This window comes from Homo sapiens, chromosome 9 (assembly GCF_000001405.40).
Source record: "Homo sapiens chromosome 9, GRCh38.p14 Primary Assembly".
In the NCBI taxonomy this organism is placed as follows: domain Eukaryota; kingdom Metazoa; phylum Chordata; class Mammalia; order Primates; family Hominidae; genus Homo; species Homo sapiens.
Window position 1 is genome coordinate 131,826,249 of NC_000009.12, and position 14,343 is coordinate 131,840,591.

The window sequence follows — 14,343 nt, forward strand, 5'->3', positions numbered from 1 at the left end:
GCATCACATCACACAATAATAAGGTCTACAAGGAAGGAGGGGAAAATGCTACTCCCAACTCTTCTTGTTGGAGATGCAAAGCTTTCCCAGATCCCCCCAGCAGACCTCAGGTCCTAATGGATAGAGCTGGGCCACCTGCCCATGCCCACATGCAAAGAAGTCTGAGGAGGCAGGTATTTCCCAACTTTATCTTCTATTTGGGAGCAGTGCTCTGATAACAAGGAACTCAGGGAGGGTCGTGTCTCATGGGTGGGTCACCCAAAGCGTCTCAGTCTCCCTGACTATGGTGTAAACTTCATGAGGGGAGGAACTAGGTCTAAATTTGCTCCCATATAACCCCAGTGCCTGGCAAGTACCTGGTGCTCACCAGATGTGGGCTGAATTAGTTCCCTGGCACACAGCTGATTCTCCAATCAGCCTTGAGCTCCTTTAGAGCAGGGGCTCCTCTGCTCATGTTCGTAGCACCCCCACCTCCCCCATCCCTCCCTACACACAACAGGGGGCTATAGCTGCAGTCCTGCTGCAAGCGGGGTGCTAAGAGAGGGCACAAGAAAGTGCCCACTCCGATGGACTCCTTAAGCTTCTGTGGTTCTGACACGAGCAAGTCTCCCCTCTAGGATAAGTCAGGGTTTTTCTGCCAGCAGCCAAAAGTAACTCTGGCTAATTTCGGGAAGGATAAAGAAGGATTTATGGAAGGAATGAGGCTCACTTAATCAAAAGCAAAGGTGAACACTTCACATCCATTAGGATGGCTCTTATGAAAACAAAACAGAAAAACACAAGTGCTGATGGGGATCTGAGGAAATGGAAAGCCTCGTGCACCGTTGGTGGGAATGCAAAACGAAGCAGGCATGGTGGAAACCAGCATGGAGGTTCCTCAGAAATGAAACAAGGAATGATCACGTGATCCAGCAATTCCATTTCTGGGTGTACACTCAAGAGAACTGAAAACAGAAATTCAAAAAGATATTTGTACACCCATGTTCACAGCAGCATTCTTCATAATAGCTAAGACGTGGAAGCAGCCAAGTGCCCATTGCTGGGTGAATGGTAGATGAGGTGTGTTCCATCCATACCACAGAATATGACTCAGCCTTAAAAAGGAAGGTGATTCTGACACAGGCTACAACACGGCGGAACCTCGAGGCCATTATAGTCAGTGAAATCAGCCAGTCACAAAAGGGCAAATACTGGCAGATTCACTTCTACAAAGTACCTGGAAAAGTCAAGTCCATAGAGACAGAAAGTCCAATGGAGGCTGCCGGGGGCTGGGGGAGGGGGAAGGGGAGTGAGTGTTTCATGGGGACAGAGCTGCATTTGGGACGATGAAGGAGTTCTGGAGATGGATGGGTGATGGCTGCACAATGCAAATGTGCTTAATGCCACTGACTTGCACACTTAGACATGGCTAAAATGATGAATTTTATGTTATGCCTGTTTTACCACAGTCAAAAATTAAATTAAAAAACAAAAAGCACAGTGAAGAATGCGGGGGTGGAAGGGCAGGTGGGGCAGCACGGCAGCCTGGGGAGCAGGAGCGGGGCCAGGTTCTTCCAGGCTCCTCTGCTTGGAGCAACGCTCCAGCTCTGGCTCAGTGTCTGCCCAGGACACTCAGCCCAGGAGCTGGCATTCTAGGGCAGGGGTCCAGCCAGCATGATGTGGGGCAGGGGGAGGACAAACGGCGCTTCAGGGACGTTCACAAGGCCCTGCACAAGTCACCTGGGAACTGGGGGACGGCTGCGTGGTCCCGACCTCTTCTGTCCGCTGTAAGGGAACTAAGATGCCTCCTCCCCTCTGCACACCGCAGGGTGGTGAGTGGGGATCTGGAGTTGCAACCTGACGGACTCAATCTCATGTGACAGCGTGAACCACTAACATGGAGGCCGTGGCCGCAGTGCAGTGGGGAGGGGTCTGCTGGGTGTGGCTGCCCAGGCGCCTCTGGGACTGAGCACTACTGGTCTAGTGGTGTAAGGAGGTGGATCTGGGGATGGGGGCGCTTGGCCAGGCTGCCCCGGCTGGAGATCCCACTGACAGCCTGAAGGGTGGAAGACTTGGAAAGTCCTCTGAGAAGCTCGCCTAACGGCGATGCTCCACTCGATTCCAAGATTGCTTCCGTTTTGCTGGGAAGAGGTTGATCATTAAATTTTATGCGCTGCTTTTGATGTCTGCTCCGAGGATGTCGGTTTCAGCATTCCGGCTCCTCCAAGGGAGGCCTCGGCAAAGTTGGCTTCCAGACGTTGGTTCCCGCCAGCAAAACCATCCATCATCGCGTGCGAATGGCTGGCCTCCTAAAAGCCATGTTATGAGAAGATGCCAATAAGTGTACTTACATTCGCCGTGCCCATCAGGGCAGCCTTGCAGAGGCATCTGCTGAATCTGGACTTTCACTCAACAGCCCGGTCTGCTCCTCCGTCCCTCCTCATCGATTGCAGGTTGAGTCCATCTTTGGTAACCAATCACCCAGGGGTTGGTAGGCATTTTTTTTTTTTTAATTTTCTGTATGAGGTTTAATTAAACCAAGGTGTGCCTGACCCTGTCAAATCATATAAAAAAAAGGCCTCTTTGCTGTATGAGGAAAAACATCAGCATAAATTATTGATTAATCCTCATTCAAACTAATCTATCAATGACTTTCTCTGGCTTGGTGGACCTGGGGAGCTCTTAGATGTTTCCATGCAAACGGCATCTGAAAGCTCCATTTCAAAGTGATCTGAGGCCCATTTAAAGCAGTCAGCAGCCAGTGGGAGCTGCCCCTGAAATTCTGAAGTGCGACCGTTCACTCTGGCCTCAGTTCAATGGTGCCTAGATGTGTCCTGTCTGGGCAGTGAGTTCCATCTGGTCCCTACGCCTGGGGGTGGGGAGTTCACAGTTCAGTGGGGGGCAGAGGAGATGACAAAGACAGACACATACAAAAGACATGCTGATATACTTTGGTGAGGGCTAGATACTGTATGATACAGGCATACTATGCACTGTATGATACAGGCATACAGTGCGTAAACCTCTAATCATACAGAAACCTCTTGTAATCATACAGAGGTCTAATGTTTAAACAGAATGGACGAAGAGAGCAGAGCAGCTTATGTGGATACATTTGAGAATTAAAGGAAATAGGCAAAGTATTTTAAAAACACAACTTACCAAAGCTGTCACAAGAAAAAAAAAACATATCCATTAAGGAAATTGAGCCCCAAATTAGGAACGATCGGGCAAAGAAAACTCCAGGCCTAGATGACTTCCCTGGTGAATTCCACCAAACACTGAAGGAAGAAAGGATCCCAGTCTTACATCAAATCTCCCAGAGAAGACAGAAAGCAGGAACACTGTCTAACTCATGTTATGAGTCTAGCAAAACTTTAATGCTAAATTCTGATGAAGACATTACAACAAAGAAACATCATGGGTCAACTCTTCCCATGAAAATGGATGTGAAAATCCTTAAAAAATATTAGCAAGTCAAATAAAACAATATCACAACCAAGTGGGATTTATTTCAAAATGCAAGGTTGGCTTAACAGTCAAAAATCAATCACATGGCCGGGCATAGTGGCTCATGCCTGTAATCCCAGCACTTTGGGAGGCTGAGGCGGGAGGATCACTAGAGGTCAGGAGTTTGAGACCAGCCTGGCCAACATGGTGAAACCCCGTCTCTACTATACAAAAAAATTAGCTGGGTGTGGTGGTAGATGCCTGTAATCCCAGCTACTTGGGAGGCTGAGGCAGGAGAATCGCTGGAACCTGGGAGGCGGAGGTTGTAGTGACCCAAGATCGCACCACTGCACTTCAGCCTGGGTGACAGAATGAGACTTTGTCTCAAAAAAGAAAAAAAAAAAAATCACAGACCAGGGTCAGAGGCTCACGCCTATAATCCTAACACTTTGGGAGGCCGAGGTGGGAGGATTGCTTGAACCCTCCAGGTTGGAGAGCAGCCTGGGAAACATAGTGAGACCCTGCCTTTACTAAAAATAAAAAAAAACTTAGCTGGACATGGTGGTGCACACCCATAGTCCTAGTTACTTGGGAGGCTGAGGCAGGAGAATCACTTGAGCCCAGGAGTTTGAGGCTGCAGTAAGCTGTGTTTATGCCACTGCACTCTAGTCTGGGTGATAGTGAGACCTTGTCTCAATAAAAAAATAAAAAACAAAAAACATAATAAAAAGAAAAATTGGCTAGGTGCAGTGGTTCACTCCTGTAACCCCAGAACTTTGGGAGGCTGAAGTGGGAGGATCAGTTGAGGCCAGGAGTTTAAGGCCAGTTTGGGCAACATAGTGAGATCTTGTCTCTATATAAAAAATTTAAAAAAAGAAAAATCATATGATCATCTTTATCGATGCAGAAAAATTATTTGATGGCGTAGGCATTTATTTAAAAAGATGTAGGCCGGGCGCAGTGGCTCACGCCTGTAATCCCAACAGTTTGGGAGGCCGAGGCGGGCGGATCACCTGAGGTCAGGAGTTTAAGACCAGCCTGGCCAACATGGTGAAACCCCATCTCTACTAAAAATACAAAAATTAGCCGAGCGTGGTGGAGGATGCCTGTAATCCCAGTTACTCTGGAGGCTGAGGCAGGAGAATTGCTTGAACCCAGGAGGTGGAGGTTGCAGTGAGCCAAGATTGTGCCACTGCACTCCAGCCTGGGCGACAGAGTAAGACTGTGTCCCAACCCCCCCAAAAAAGATGTAAACATATGCTTATTGACATTAAAAGAAGCTCATGATATGCCAGCAAGTAAAAGAGCCAGTCAGAAGATGGCATATAATATCATCCCATTTTCTTGTAATAAAAAAAATCTGTATCTGTCTCTGAAAGGGTTTACCTCAAAATAGTAATTGTGCTTATTATCTCTGGGTGCTGAAAAATTTTTATTTCTTCTTTGTATTATTCTTTATTTCTTGCTTTTTAAAATAGTGAACATGTATTATTGATGTAATAGTTTTTTAAAAACAACTTATTAAAAGAAGAACGTTATAGCCCATTTTTCTGCCCTGGAAATTCACTAGAGAAAAGCACGAAGAGAAATTCCAACAACTGACAGGGCTCTTATTTGTAGGCCACGGAAATAGTTTCCAGCTGATTTAAGCAGAAAATGAATTCATTCCAAGGGCACTGGGACTCCCAGAACCTCTGGAGGCCAGAGGACCCAGCTCGGAGCCCGTGAGGCTGGGAGGGAAGAATGGGCTCCAGCGGAAGTGGTTGGTGAAGACACCACTGCCATCGCTGCCCGGCCTGAGCTGTGTGGGGGTTTCTCCCCTCCGCTGCCACCAGGCAGCACCACCCCTCGGGCACCGCCATGTGCCTTGGTGTCCAGGGTCGCCACCCATCCCAGAACGGTTCCCCTCGGTCCCTGGTTCCCAGCACGTGCCTTGGTGGAGGCGGGGGCAGCGGCTGCCAATGGCCGTCTGGGATACATGTGCACATTGGCCACGTTTGGCTGTGACAGCAGAAGGCGGGCTCTGCCTCAGAAGGAGAGGTCTCCGCAGGCCCGGAAGTAGGTTCAGGAGCTGAATGACCAAACCACAGGACACCCTTGGCCCTTCTGCACTAAGACTAGCGTTGGCGAACTACAGCTTATGGGCCTGATCCAGCCCGCTGCCTGCTTTCTGTACAGCCCACAAGCTAACAATGGGTTTTACATTTGATAACAATCAAACGAAGAATGGTATGTCTTGAAATGTGAAAATTTTATGTAATTAACATTTCAGTGTCTATAAAGTTTTATTGGCACATAGCCCCATTCACTGTGTATCTATTGTCTATGGTTGCTTTTGCACCATGAAGGCAGAGTTGAGCGATTGTGAGAGAGACCTGCAAAGCCACAAATCCTGACCAGTGGGCTCCCTGCAGAAAGTCTGTGGACCCATGACTGAGAGTGATGATTCTCTCTAGCTGTGTCTGCACTCTGTTGGTTGCTCTTGGTTCATAAGGACCCGGGATATCTTGTGAGTCTCCTGCTCAGGATGAGACTAAAGGGTGGTAGAATATGCCACCCTCAAATATGCCTCTTTGACATAAGGGTTATTTTGAGCTAAAGGCACTTAAAGAAATAGCAGGTGCATCGGGCGCAGTGGCTCACACCTGTAATCCCAGGGGGTGGGAGGCTGAGGTGGGCAGATTGCTTGAGGTCAGAAGTTCGAGACCAGCCTGGCCAATACGGTGAAACCCCCTCTCTACTAAAAATACAAAAATTAGCTGGGTGTGGTGGTGTGCACCTGTAATCCCAGCTACGCAGCAGACTGAGGCAGGAGAATCACTTGAACCCGGGAGACAGTGGTTGCAGTGAGCTGAGATCGCACCACTGCACTCCAGCCTGGGTGACAGAGCAAGACTACATCTCAAAAAAAAAAGAAAGAAAGAAAGAAAGAAAGAAAGAAAGAAAGAAAGAAAGAAAGAAAGAAAGAAAGAGCCGAGGAAAAGAAATAGCAGCAGTGACTAAAGTACTCTGACTTCTGCTTTTTCTTCCTAAAAGTAGGAGATAAAACCCCTGCATAGAAGATGTCCTCTCTATACCAGAGAGGAAGTAACATTCTTATCACCAGAGATGGGGAGTCGAGGCAGAGAAAGATCTGTGCAGACACACGTGGTTAAACTGATCCTTATCTTCCTACTTTTCCACCATAAACTACCTTAGCCCAAGCCCCTTTGTCTTGTCACATTTTCCTAATTTACTATGTTGTCCAGTTTAGTTCATAAATATTCCACTCTGCCTGCTGCTTTATGTGTTCATTTCCTTATGAGGGCACTAGGTCCTGTAAAACATACATGAAAGCAATATGTATGTTTTTCACTTGTTAATCTGTTTTTTTTTTTTTTGATGGAGCCCCTGCTGAGAGCCTGGAAGGGTAGGAGGAAAGGACTTGGTCTTCCCCTGTGTGGTGTAAGATGGCTTCTCAGAGTCCAGAGAAAGATCTTCACCAGCACATCTCAGCTAAGTCTCATGGTCTCTGCTTCTCCTTCATCACCTTATCAGAACTCTTGCACCCACCCGCTTCCTGCCCCTGTTCTCTAGAGCTTTCTGTGTCAGCTTCCAGCTCTGCACCCGAAGGCTGTGAGCTCTTGCTTGCCCCAGCCCCACGCAACCCACACTGCACACTGTGATTGCTCTCTGCCTCTTTTCAGCTCATCTCTGGCTGGCGTAGACTCTGGTTGGACCAGTCTCCCCAGGCAAAGCTTCTCATGCCAGGTACCTTTGTGGGCCAGTGACCAGCCTCTTTTTGTTCCCTCAGCTGTGGACAACAGGGGAGCCATGGGATGCATGGCATGGGCACCTGGGGCTACCCATACGTGGGGGATGTTTCCTTTTGCAGGTGCTACGGGACTGGCAGGTACCAGTAGCAAACCACACAGTGATGCAGACCAGCCATGCCCGCTGCCCACATGCTCAGAGGTACTTAGAGGAGGGGAGGATGGCCATTCAGGGCTGCCAGTGATGTGTCAAGCATCCTTTTCACGTACTCCTCGCCTCAACCTTGGGAGGGAGACCCATGGACTGTCCAAGCCTATCTCCCTTCCCTCCAGGCACACAGCTGGATGGCATTTCCTAGCATCCTTTGCAGTTCGGTGGAGCCATGTGCTGAATTCTGGCCATGAAGTGTGCATGGAAGTGAAATACACCTGGGTCTCTGAGTCACTATGTGGAGCTGAGCCCTTCCTGGCCTAGGTCTCTGAATCACTGTATGGAGCAGGGCCCTTCTTGGCCTGGGTCTCTGAGTCATTGCGTGAAGCAGAACCCCTCCTGGCCTGGGTCTCTGGGTCACTGTATGGAGTCGAGCCTCTTGTGGCATGGGTGTCTGAGTCACTGTGTGGAGCAGAGCCCATCCTGACCTGGGTCTCTGAGTCACTGTGTGGAGCAGAGCCCCTCATGGCCTGGGTCTCTGAGTCATTGTGTGAAGCAGAACCCCTCATGGCCTGGGTGTCTGAGTCACTGTGTGGAGCTGAGCCCCTCATGGCCTGGGTCTCTGGGTCACTGTATGGAGTTGAGCCTCTTGTGGCATGGGTGTCTGAGTCACTGTGTGGAGCAGAGCCCCTCCTGGACTGGGTCTCTGAGTCACTGTGTGGAGCCCTTCCTGACTGCTGATTGTACTTTTCATAAGTGTGGTAAAGATGGTCACAAATTCTGTGAACTTCTCCCATTGAAATGAGGAGGTCTATATCTCCTCCCTTTAAATCTGGGTGGGCCTGTTACTGCTTCAAGCAATAGGATATGGTGGAACTGACTCTCTCCATTTCTGGGCCCACTTCTGCCTCCTGTCTCTTGGAGCACACTTGGAGGTCTGAGCTGCCATATGAAGAGTCTGACCACCTTGTTGGGTGGGGAGGAATCAGGACCAATAATTCGGTGCCTCTCAGGAGGCTCGGTCACCACTGACCAGGAAGGTGGCTTCAGGCTAAAGGAGAAATCCCGTGGGGCTCCTGTGAGGCTCTACTCTGACTAATACTTTAGTTCCTGTGTGATGGTCACTAATACGTTAGTTCCCACCATGGGTATTTTGTCCCTTCTCCTTCTTTGACGTGGCTGAGTTCTCCTCACACAGGGGCAGTGAGCTGTGGCCCTCTGCCTGGTCCCAGGAGGCCCTGGGACCCCTGAGCGTCGTGGCTCAGAGCTCAGCTCCCCTCCTGGGAGGTGGAGCTGCCTTTCTCCGAGGCCATGAGCTGGGCCCTCCACACCCCCCGGGGCACGTTCTAGCTACTGCCTTCCTCGCAGCCTTTGATCACCTAAGGATTTCCAGTCCTGCCCACTGCCACTCAGCCATCGCAGGCCCAGCGGCCTCGGGGAAGATGAAAGGTGTCGCCCACCTCGCTCCTCCTGCACAAAAGCAGGATCAATTAAAAACTTTCTATCCACGGAGCCGGAAGACTTGTCAGAGGAAGCTTCGGAGAGAAAATCAGGCTCCAGAGGGAGACGCAGTCCTTAAAAGTAAAGGTATTTTTAGCTGGAAAGTTTAGCAGAAGAAAGGCTGCGTCAGGCCCGAGCGGACCCGTCATCCGTCACAGGCCGGCCTCAGAAAGTGGGGAAGAAACCCCAGAAAGGCTTGAAAAGCCGTCCTTCCACGTGGGCGGGCGCCTCCCGGGCTGCCGGGGGATGTGCGAAAGTCATTGCGGCTCAGGGCTGTGCAGCCCCACCTTCAGCTTTTCCAAGTGTAAACGGAGCCTTTCTGCCTTGAACAGCTGTGTTTTCCCTTTACTTGGAGCGGATGCAAAGTTCGGAGGCTGTCCGGGGCCCTCCTCTCTCCCCCTCCCCCAGACGCTCAGCCTTAGGCCTTCTGCAGGGTGTGGAGCCTGCGGGATCCTGGGCCTTTAATGGGGGCTCCAGACCCTCCCTCCACAGCCACACAACTTTGCCAGTGATGCTGGGAGCCGGGAGAGGGCCTGGGGTTTGTGCAAGCCAGATTCAGACTCACGCGATCTCCCCAACTCCGGCCCGGGGACTTGGGGCTTCTCTGTCCTCTCTCCTCCCTGCACACCCAGCCTCTGGGAAGGCGCAGGCCAGCTGCACGGTGTTGGAATTCCACCTCCTCTGCTGAAGGAGGTGCTGGGTGTGCCAGGCACGTGGGGCCCTCGGGTGTCCACAGCTTCTGGGACCCCCCTGATAGTTTCCCACGGATTTTCCCAACTCTGACTTCTCTTGGTCAAACCCTACTTATGTTTCCAGGCTCATTTCAAATGCCACAACCTCCAAGAAGCCCTCTTGGATGTCCAGACAAGGGCACACGCTCCCCCTTCTGAATTCCCTATGGCCTTCTGTCTCTTCCTTCCTGGTACCCTCCTGACCCCACCTGACAGGACGTGTCCTGAAGGAAGAAGCAACGCAGCTCTGGAGCACGCAACCCTGGGGTGGAATCCGCCTCCTCTACTTTTTTTTTTTTTTTTGAGACAGGGAGTCGCTCTGTCGCCCAGACTGAAGTGCAGTGGCACGATCACGGCTTACTGCAGTCGGCCTCCTGGGCTAAAGCAACCCGCCTGCCTCAGCCTCCCAAAGCGCTGGGACTATAGGCGTGAGCCACAGCGCCCGGCCTACGCCTCCTCTACTTCTTAGCTTGTGATCTGGGGCAAGTTTCTTATCCACTCCAAGCGTCAGTTTCTCTATCAGTGAAAGGAAAAAATAACACAGTCTTCCCTCCTGGGTTCCTGTGAGGATTCAGTGAAGCGAGAGTGATCTACACGTGGGAAGCCCTAACCCCGTCCTCGTCCTCGGTAGCGTGGTGCTCGTCCTCCTGGGAGGAGCCCGGCGAGGCCCTGTGGCTGAGACTCGGGCACCTGGCTCTGCTCTGGCCCCCCTAGAAGACCCTGACGCCTAGTCTCTGGATTCAGACCTCGCCTGCAAAAACAACGTGACCACATCAGCTCAGCCTGCACCACCAACTGCTCTGAGATGAGGCGTGAGGTTCCCTTTGGAGGTAACTCTGGGGAAACGAGAGTGGCGGCCGGTGTCACAGGGCCACCTGCACATGCCCTGAGGATCACCGCACCTGCCCGGAGCTGGCTGGATGTTTTGGAGGACCCAGGACACAGCAGGCGAGCGCTGGCACCCACAGACCCCCTTTCTCTCATTTCACGTCCCTGGGCTGCAGAGGGAAGGACCCTCTGGCCTGGGCAACATAGTGAGACCCCATCTCTACAAAAAAATTAAAAAATTAGCCGGGCATGGTGATGCATGCCTGTAGTCCCAGCTACTCGGGAGGCTGGGGCGGGAGGATCACTTGAGCCTGGGAGGTCAAGGCTGCAGTGAGCCATGATTGCACCACTGCACTCCAGCCCGGGTGACAGAGCAAGACCCTGTCTCCACCACCAAAAAAAAGGCCCTCGTTAGTTTACTTGGGAGGAGCTGGGCCTGCCGTGAGCTGGGCAGGCATAGGCCCTGTCCTGGTGCTCACTGTTCTGGGGTGGGGGAGCAGATGAACAGGTATAAATTCTACTATGGGGGGGTATGGGCTCTGATGGCCATGGGGGGCGGGTGTCTAATCATGGACTGCTTCCCGGAGGAAGGTGCATTTGAGTCTGACACATGTGCAGTTAGTGGGAAAGTGGGATGGGCTGGATGATCTGAGCCCTGTTGGGGAGAAGCAGGAGCTGGAGCAGCCTGGCATCTTTGAGCATCTGAGGTCCAGCCTAGGACCCGTCAGGGCATAGCCAGGAGCAGGGGCAGGGGCAGGGATTGGCAGGACGGAGACCAGGTCAGGCTGGGCGGTGCCCCTGTCTGCATTGTGGCTGCTGCAGGCTGATGGCGGGAAGAGGCAGTGGGACTCGAGTGGCCACTGGGAGGCAGGGCAGGGGTGCTCAGGTGAAACATGGCAGCAGCCCTCTCTGGAGTTACAACCGAGGGCTGGAGACAGGCAAGGGATTCTGGAGAGTACAAGGAGCCAGACTGCTCGTGACATGTGGGGTCTGGGGAAGGGACGGGAGCGGGGGCCTGGGCTCCATGTCTCTATTGCCCTCCTGCCTTCCTGGCCCGGCCAGGGGAGCCTGGGCTGGGGCTGATCGTGACCTTGCCAGTCTGTGCCTGGGCTTGCGGACTGTTAGCCCGGGAACAGCCTGCACATCTTGAGTGTCTGTCAGCTTTTTCTGGGAGAAAGATTCCCAAGCAAGCCCTGGACACCCCCAGAATGTACAAGTCTCTGCTCTGTTCCCAGCTCCTGCTGTCTCCCCCAAAACACACAGCCCTCTGCTCTGTTCTCAGCTCTGGGTGTCCCCTCTGCTCCTGCCATCCCCCACCCTCACCTTAGATCAATCACTGTCCTGAGCTTCTCTAAACACTCCGTGTTGCTTCGAAGGGCGTGGGACCTCACTTCTCAGCAGTGTGACTCGAGTTTGCCCCTGGACATCTCCGTTTCCTCCTCTGGGAAGTGGGCTCACGGCAGTCCCGTCCCCATGCAGGGCTGCTGTGCAGATGGAATGGGAGGAGCAAGGCAGGCCCTGGGTCAGCGCCTGGCTCTGGACTTATCAGGACCATAAATAGGGTTCCTGGTGGTCGCTGTTTTATTCGTGGACTGCTGGCTTACGAGCTGCCCTGAGTGACGCGTGGGGTGACGCTGCCAACACCTGGCTACAGAGGTCCCTTCAGGGAGGACAGGAGAGCCTTGTGGTGAGGAAGCCTCTTTGGAAAGTGAGACTCAGTCATCAGAGCTCACCGTGCAGATGACAGGCTTCCGGGGCTGGACCTGGGGCGGGGGGGGGGGGCGTCAGGCGGACCCCCATCCCCAAGGGGCCCAGCTCGTCCTGAGGGGGCAGCCACGGCCCCTTTTCCAAGCTCCCCCAAGGATCCGCGGGTGGCCTCAGCCCCGCCCACCTCACCCTCTCTCCCGGCCTGACCCTTCCCCACTCCTCAGCCTCTGGTTCTGCTCTCAGCAGATGCCCCTGCTCAGCCTTCCAGAGCCCCTCCCATATTAGCGTCTTCCTGGGAGCACTGCTGTGCAGCTCCATGCCCGTCCCACCTTCTAGGCCAGAATTCATTCATTCATTCAGTCGTTCAGCACCACTGCCTGAGGGCTTACCTTGAGCAGGTCCCACGCTGGCTGACACCAGCACGCCGGAGGCCCCGGGCTGAACACACAGCGCCACCCACCGAGCCTGAGCAACGTTTGCTGCCGTCAGTGAAGCCCCCAGGCAGGGAGGCCACTGCAGGGAGGACTGAGCGGGCCTCGAGGGAGTGAGTGGCTGGGAACAGAGGGGTGCAGCCTTCCCAGGGAGGGGACAGGGTGTGGAGAGGGAGAGGGGGCTGGGGAGAGGTGAGCAGGCGTCTCCCGCTGTCTGAGGAGCTGGAACCTGGTCCGATCCAGAGGGCACCCTGGCATGGTCCGACCCAGGGGGTGCTTCTGCCGTGGGCTTCGAGAGGGCAGGGAGAGGGGAGGGGAGCTGCAGATCCCCTGGCTCCAGGCCATAAGGACCTGATCTCAGGTGGGGCTGGGGGGCACTGAGCAAACTGAGAACCACTCCCAGGCCTGGGTGAGGGAGCCAGGAGTCTGGGGTCTGGCCTGCCCAGCGTCCACAGCCCACTTTGCCAGGGAGGCCCAGGGCTGGTGAGGACCCAGCCGAGGTCCTGCCGCCACCCCAGCTGCAGCTGAGCTTGGAGAGGAAACCAGGTGCCGCTCGGGGACGTCGCTGCTCTAACTGCCCGCAAGGGGTGCTTCCGGGGCAGGCCTGGCCAGGACAGGGCGAGGAGGCCTCTCTGGAGGTCATGGGGACCCTGTGTCTTCTCTTCCTTCACACGCCTGGGCCTGCGACCTCACAGAGGCCACAGCATGCCCTGTCCGTCCTCACCAGCTGCAAGCAGGAGGCGGCCTGGCCGTAACACCGGCCTGGGAAGGCCGAGCACATTTGAGCAGCCTCATGGAAAGTTCTGGGGTTTATGACAACAGATTATCTGGTGGTGACAGCAGATCTGGGATGGTGCTTCCTGCCCACCGCCTTCTCTCTCTTTGAAAACAAAACCACCCACACATTTTGAAAGCTGGGCCCCTATGGTGGGTTCAGGATAGAGCCAACCCTGAACTCATGGGGAGACTTGTCCCACAGAAATGACGAAGATTCTTCCAGGAACAGACTCAGCCTTCTCTTTCCACCTGAGGGACACTCAGTCTCAGCCTGGAAACCAAAGATGGGGCTGGGCGGGTGCTGCGGTTTAGGCTGAATCATCGTCATAGCTGTGACCAATTGTAACAACAACAAAAACAGCAGCAGCAGCAGCAGCAGCTCATTTTTCTCTAACAGGCTTGTTGCATCTGCACTAAGTCAAGGTATCATTCCTGTCAAGGAGGCTTCCAGCCTGTGCTTGTTTGCTTCTCTTGATGGGGACCTCACTACCTCGGGCAGCTATGTATGTCCCCCAGGCGTGTGTCCAGTGTCCTGCTGGGGGCGCTGGCCCCCAATGTGCCCCTTTTGCTTTCAGACAGCCAGGACGTTGGGCTGCAACAGCCTAAACTGGCTCTGGCGTCTTACACAGCAGAGGAACTGGAGGGAGAGCTGAAGCTATTGGAATCCACGGGGAGGCAGGGAATGGTGGAAGCCACAGCCAGTGGGGCAGCTGGAACCACAGCCCAGAGCCAAGCTAAATGTGCACTCTCAATGATCTCCATTTGCCCAAAATTCGAAACCAGAAGGAAGCATTTGATTGGCTGAGCCAGGCACAGGCCCCGCCCTGGCTGCTAAGGGTAGAGGTGGCGGGAAGGGGAGGAGAGGAAGGGGAAAGGAAGGGCCAGGACTGCCTCCAGCAGGGTAAGCTGGGACCCCAGGCAACCACCACAGCCACCCTTTTCCTCCCCATTTACTGAGCTCACCGCAGGCCAGGCCACCAGGCCAAGTTGGATAATGTTTTATGTGATACCGCCTCATCCCGGGGTGTTTCCTCTCA

General features: G+C 53.5%; 2 annotated features.

Moving 5' to 3' along the window:
- Positions 1,814-2,313: an enhancer, noted in NCBI's record as "H3K4me1 hESC enhancer chr9:134703449-134703948 (GRCh37/hg19 assembly coordinates)". NCBI's record gives its function as "activates a minimal SCP1, AML or CMV promoter by ChIP-STARR-seq in primed H9 embryonic stem cells {active_cell/tissue: H9 hESC(primed)}" and the evidence as "EXISTENCE:reporter gene assay evidence [ECO:0000049][PMID:30033119]".
- Positions 11,412-11,950: an enhancer, noted in NCBI's record as "H3K4me1 hESC enhancer chr9:134713047-134713585 (GRCh37/hg19 assembly coordinates)". NCBI's record gives its function as "activates a minimal SCP1, AML or CMV promoter by ChIP-STARR-seq in naive H9 embryonic stem cells {active_cell/tissue: H9 hESC(naive)}" and the evidence as "EXISTENCE:reporter gene assay evidence [ECO:0000049][PMID:30033119]".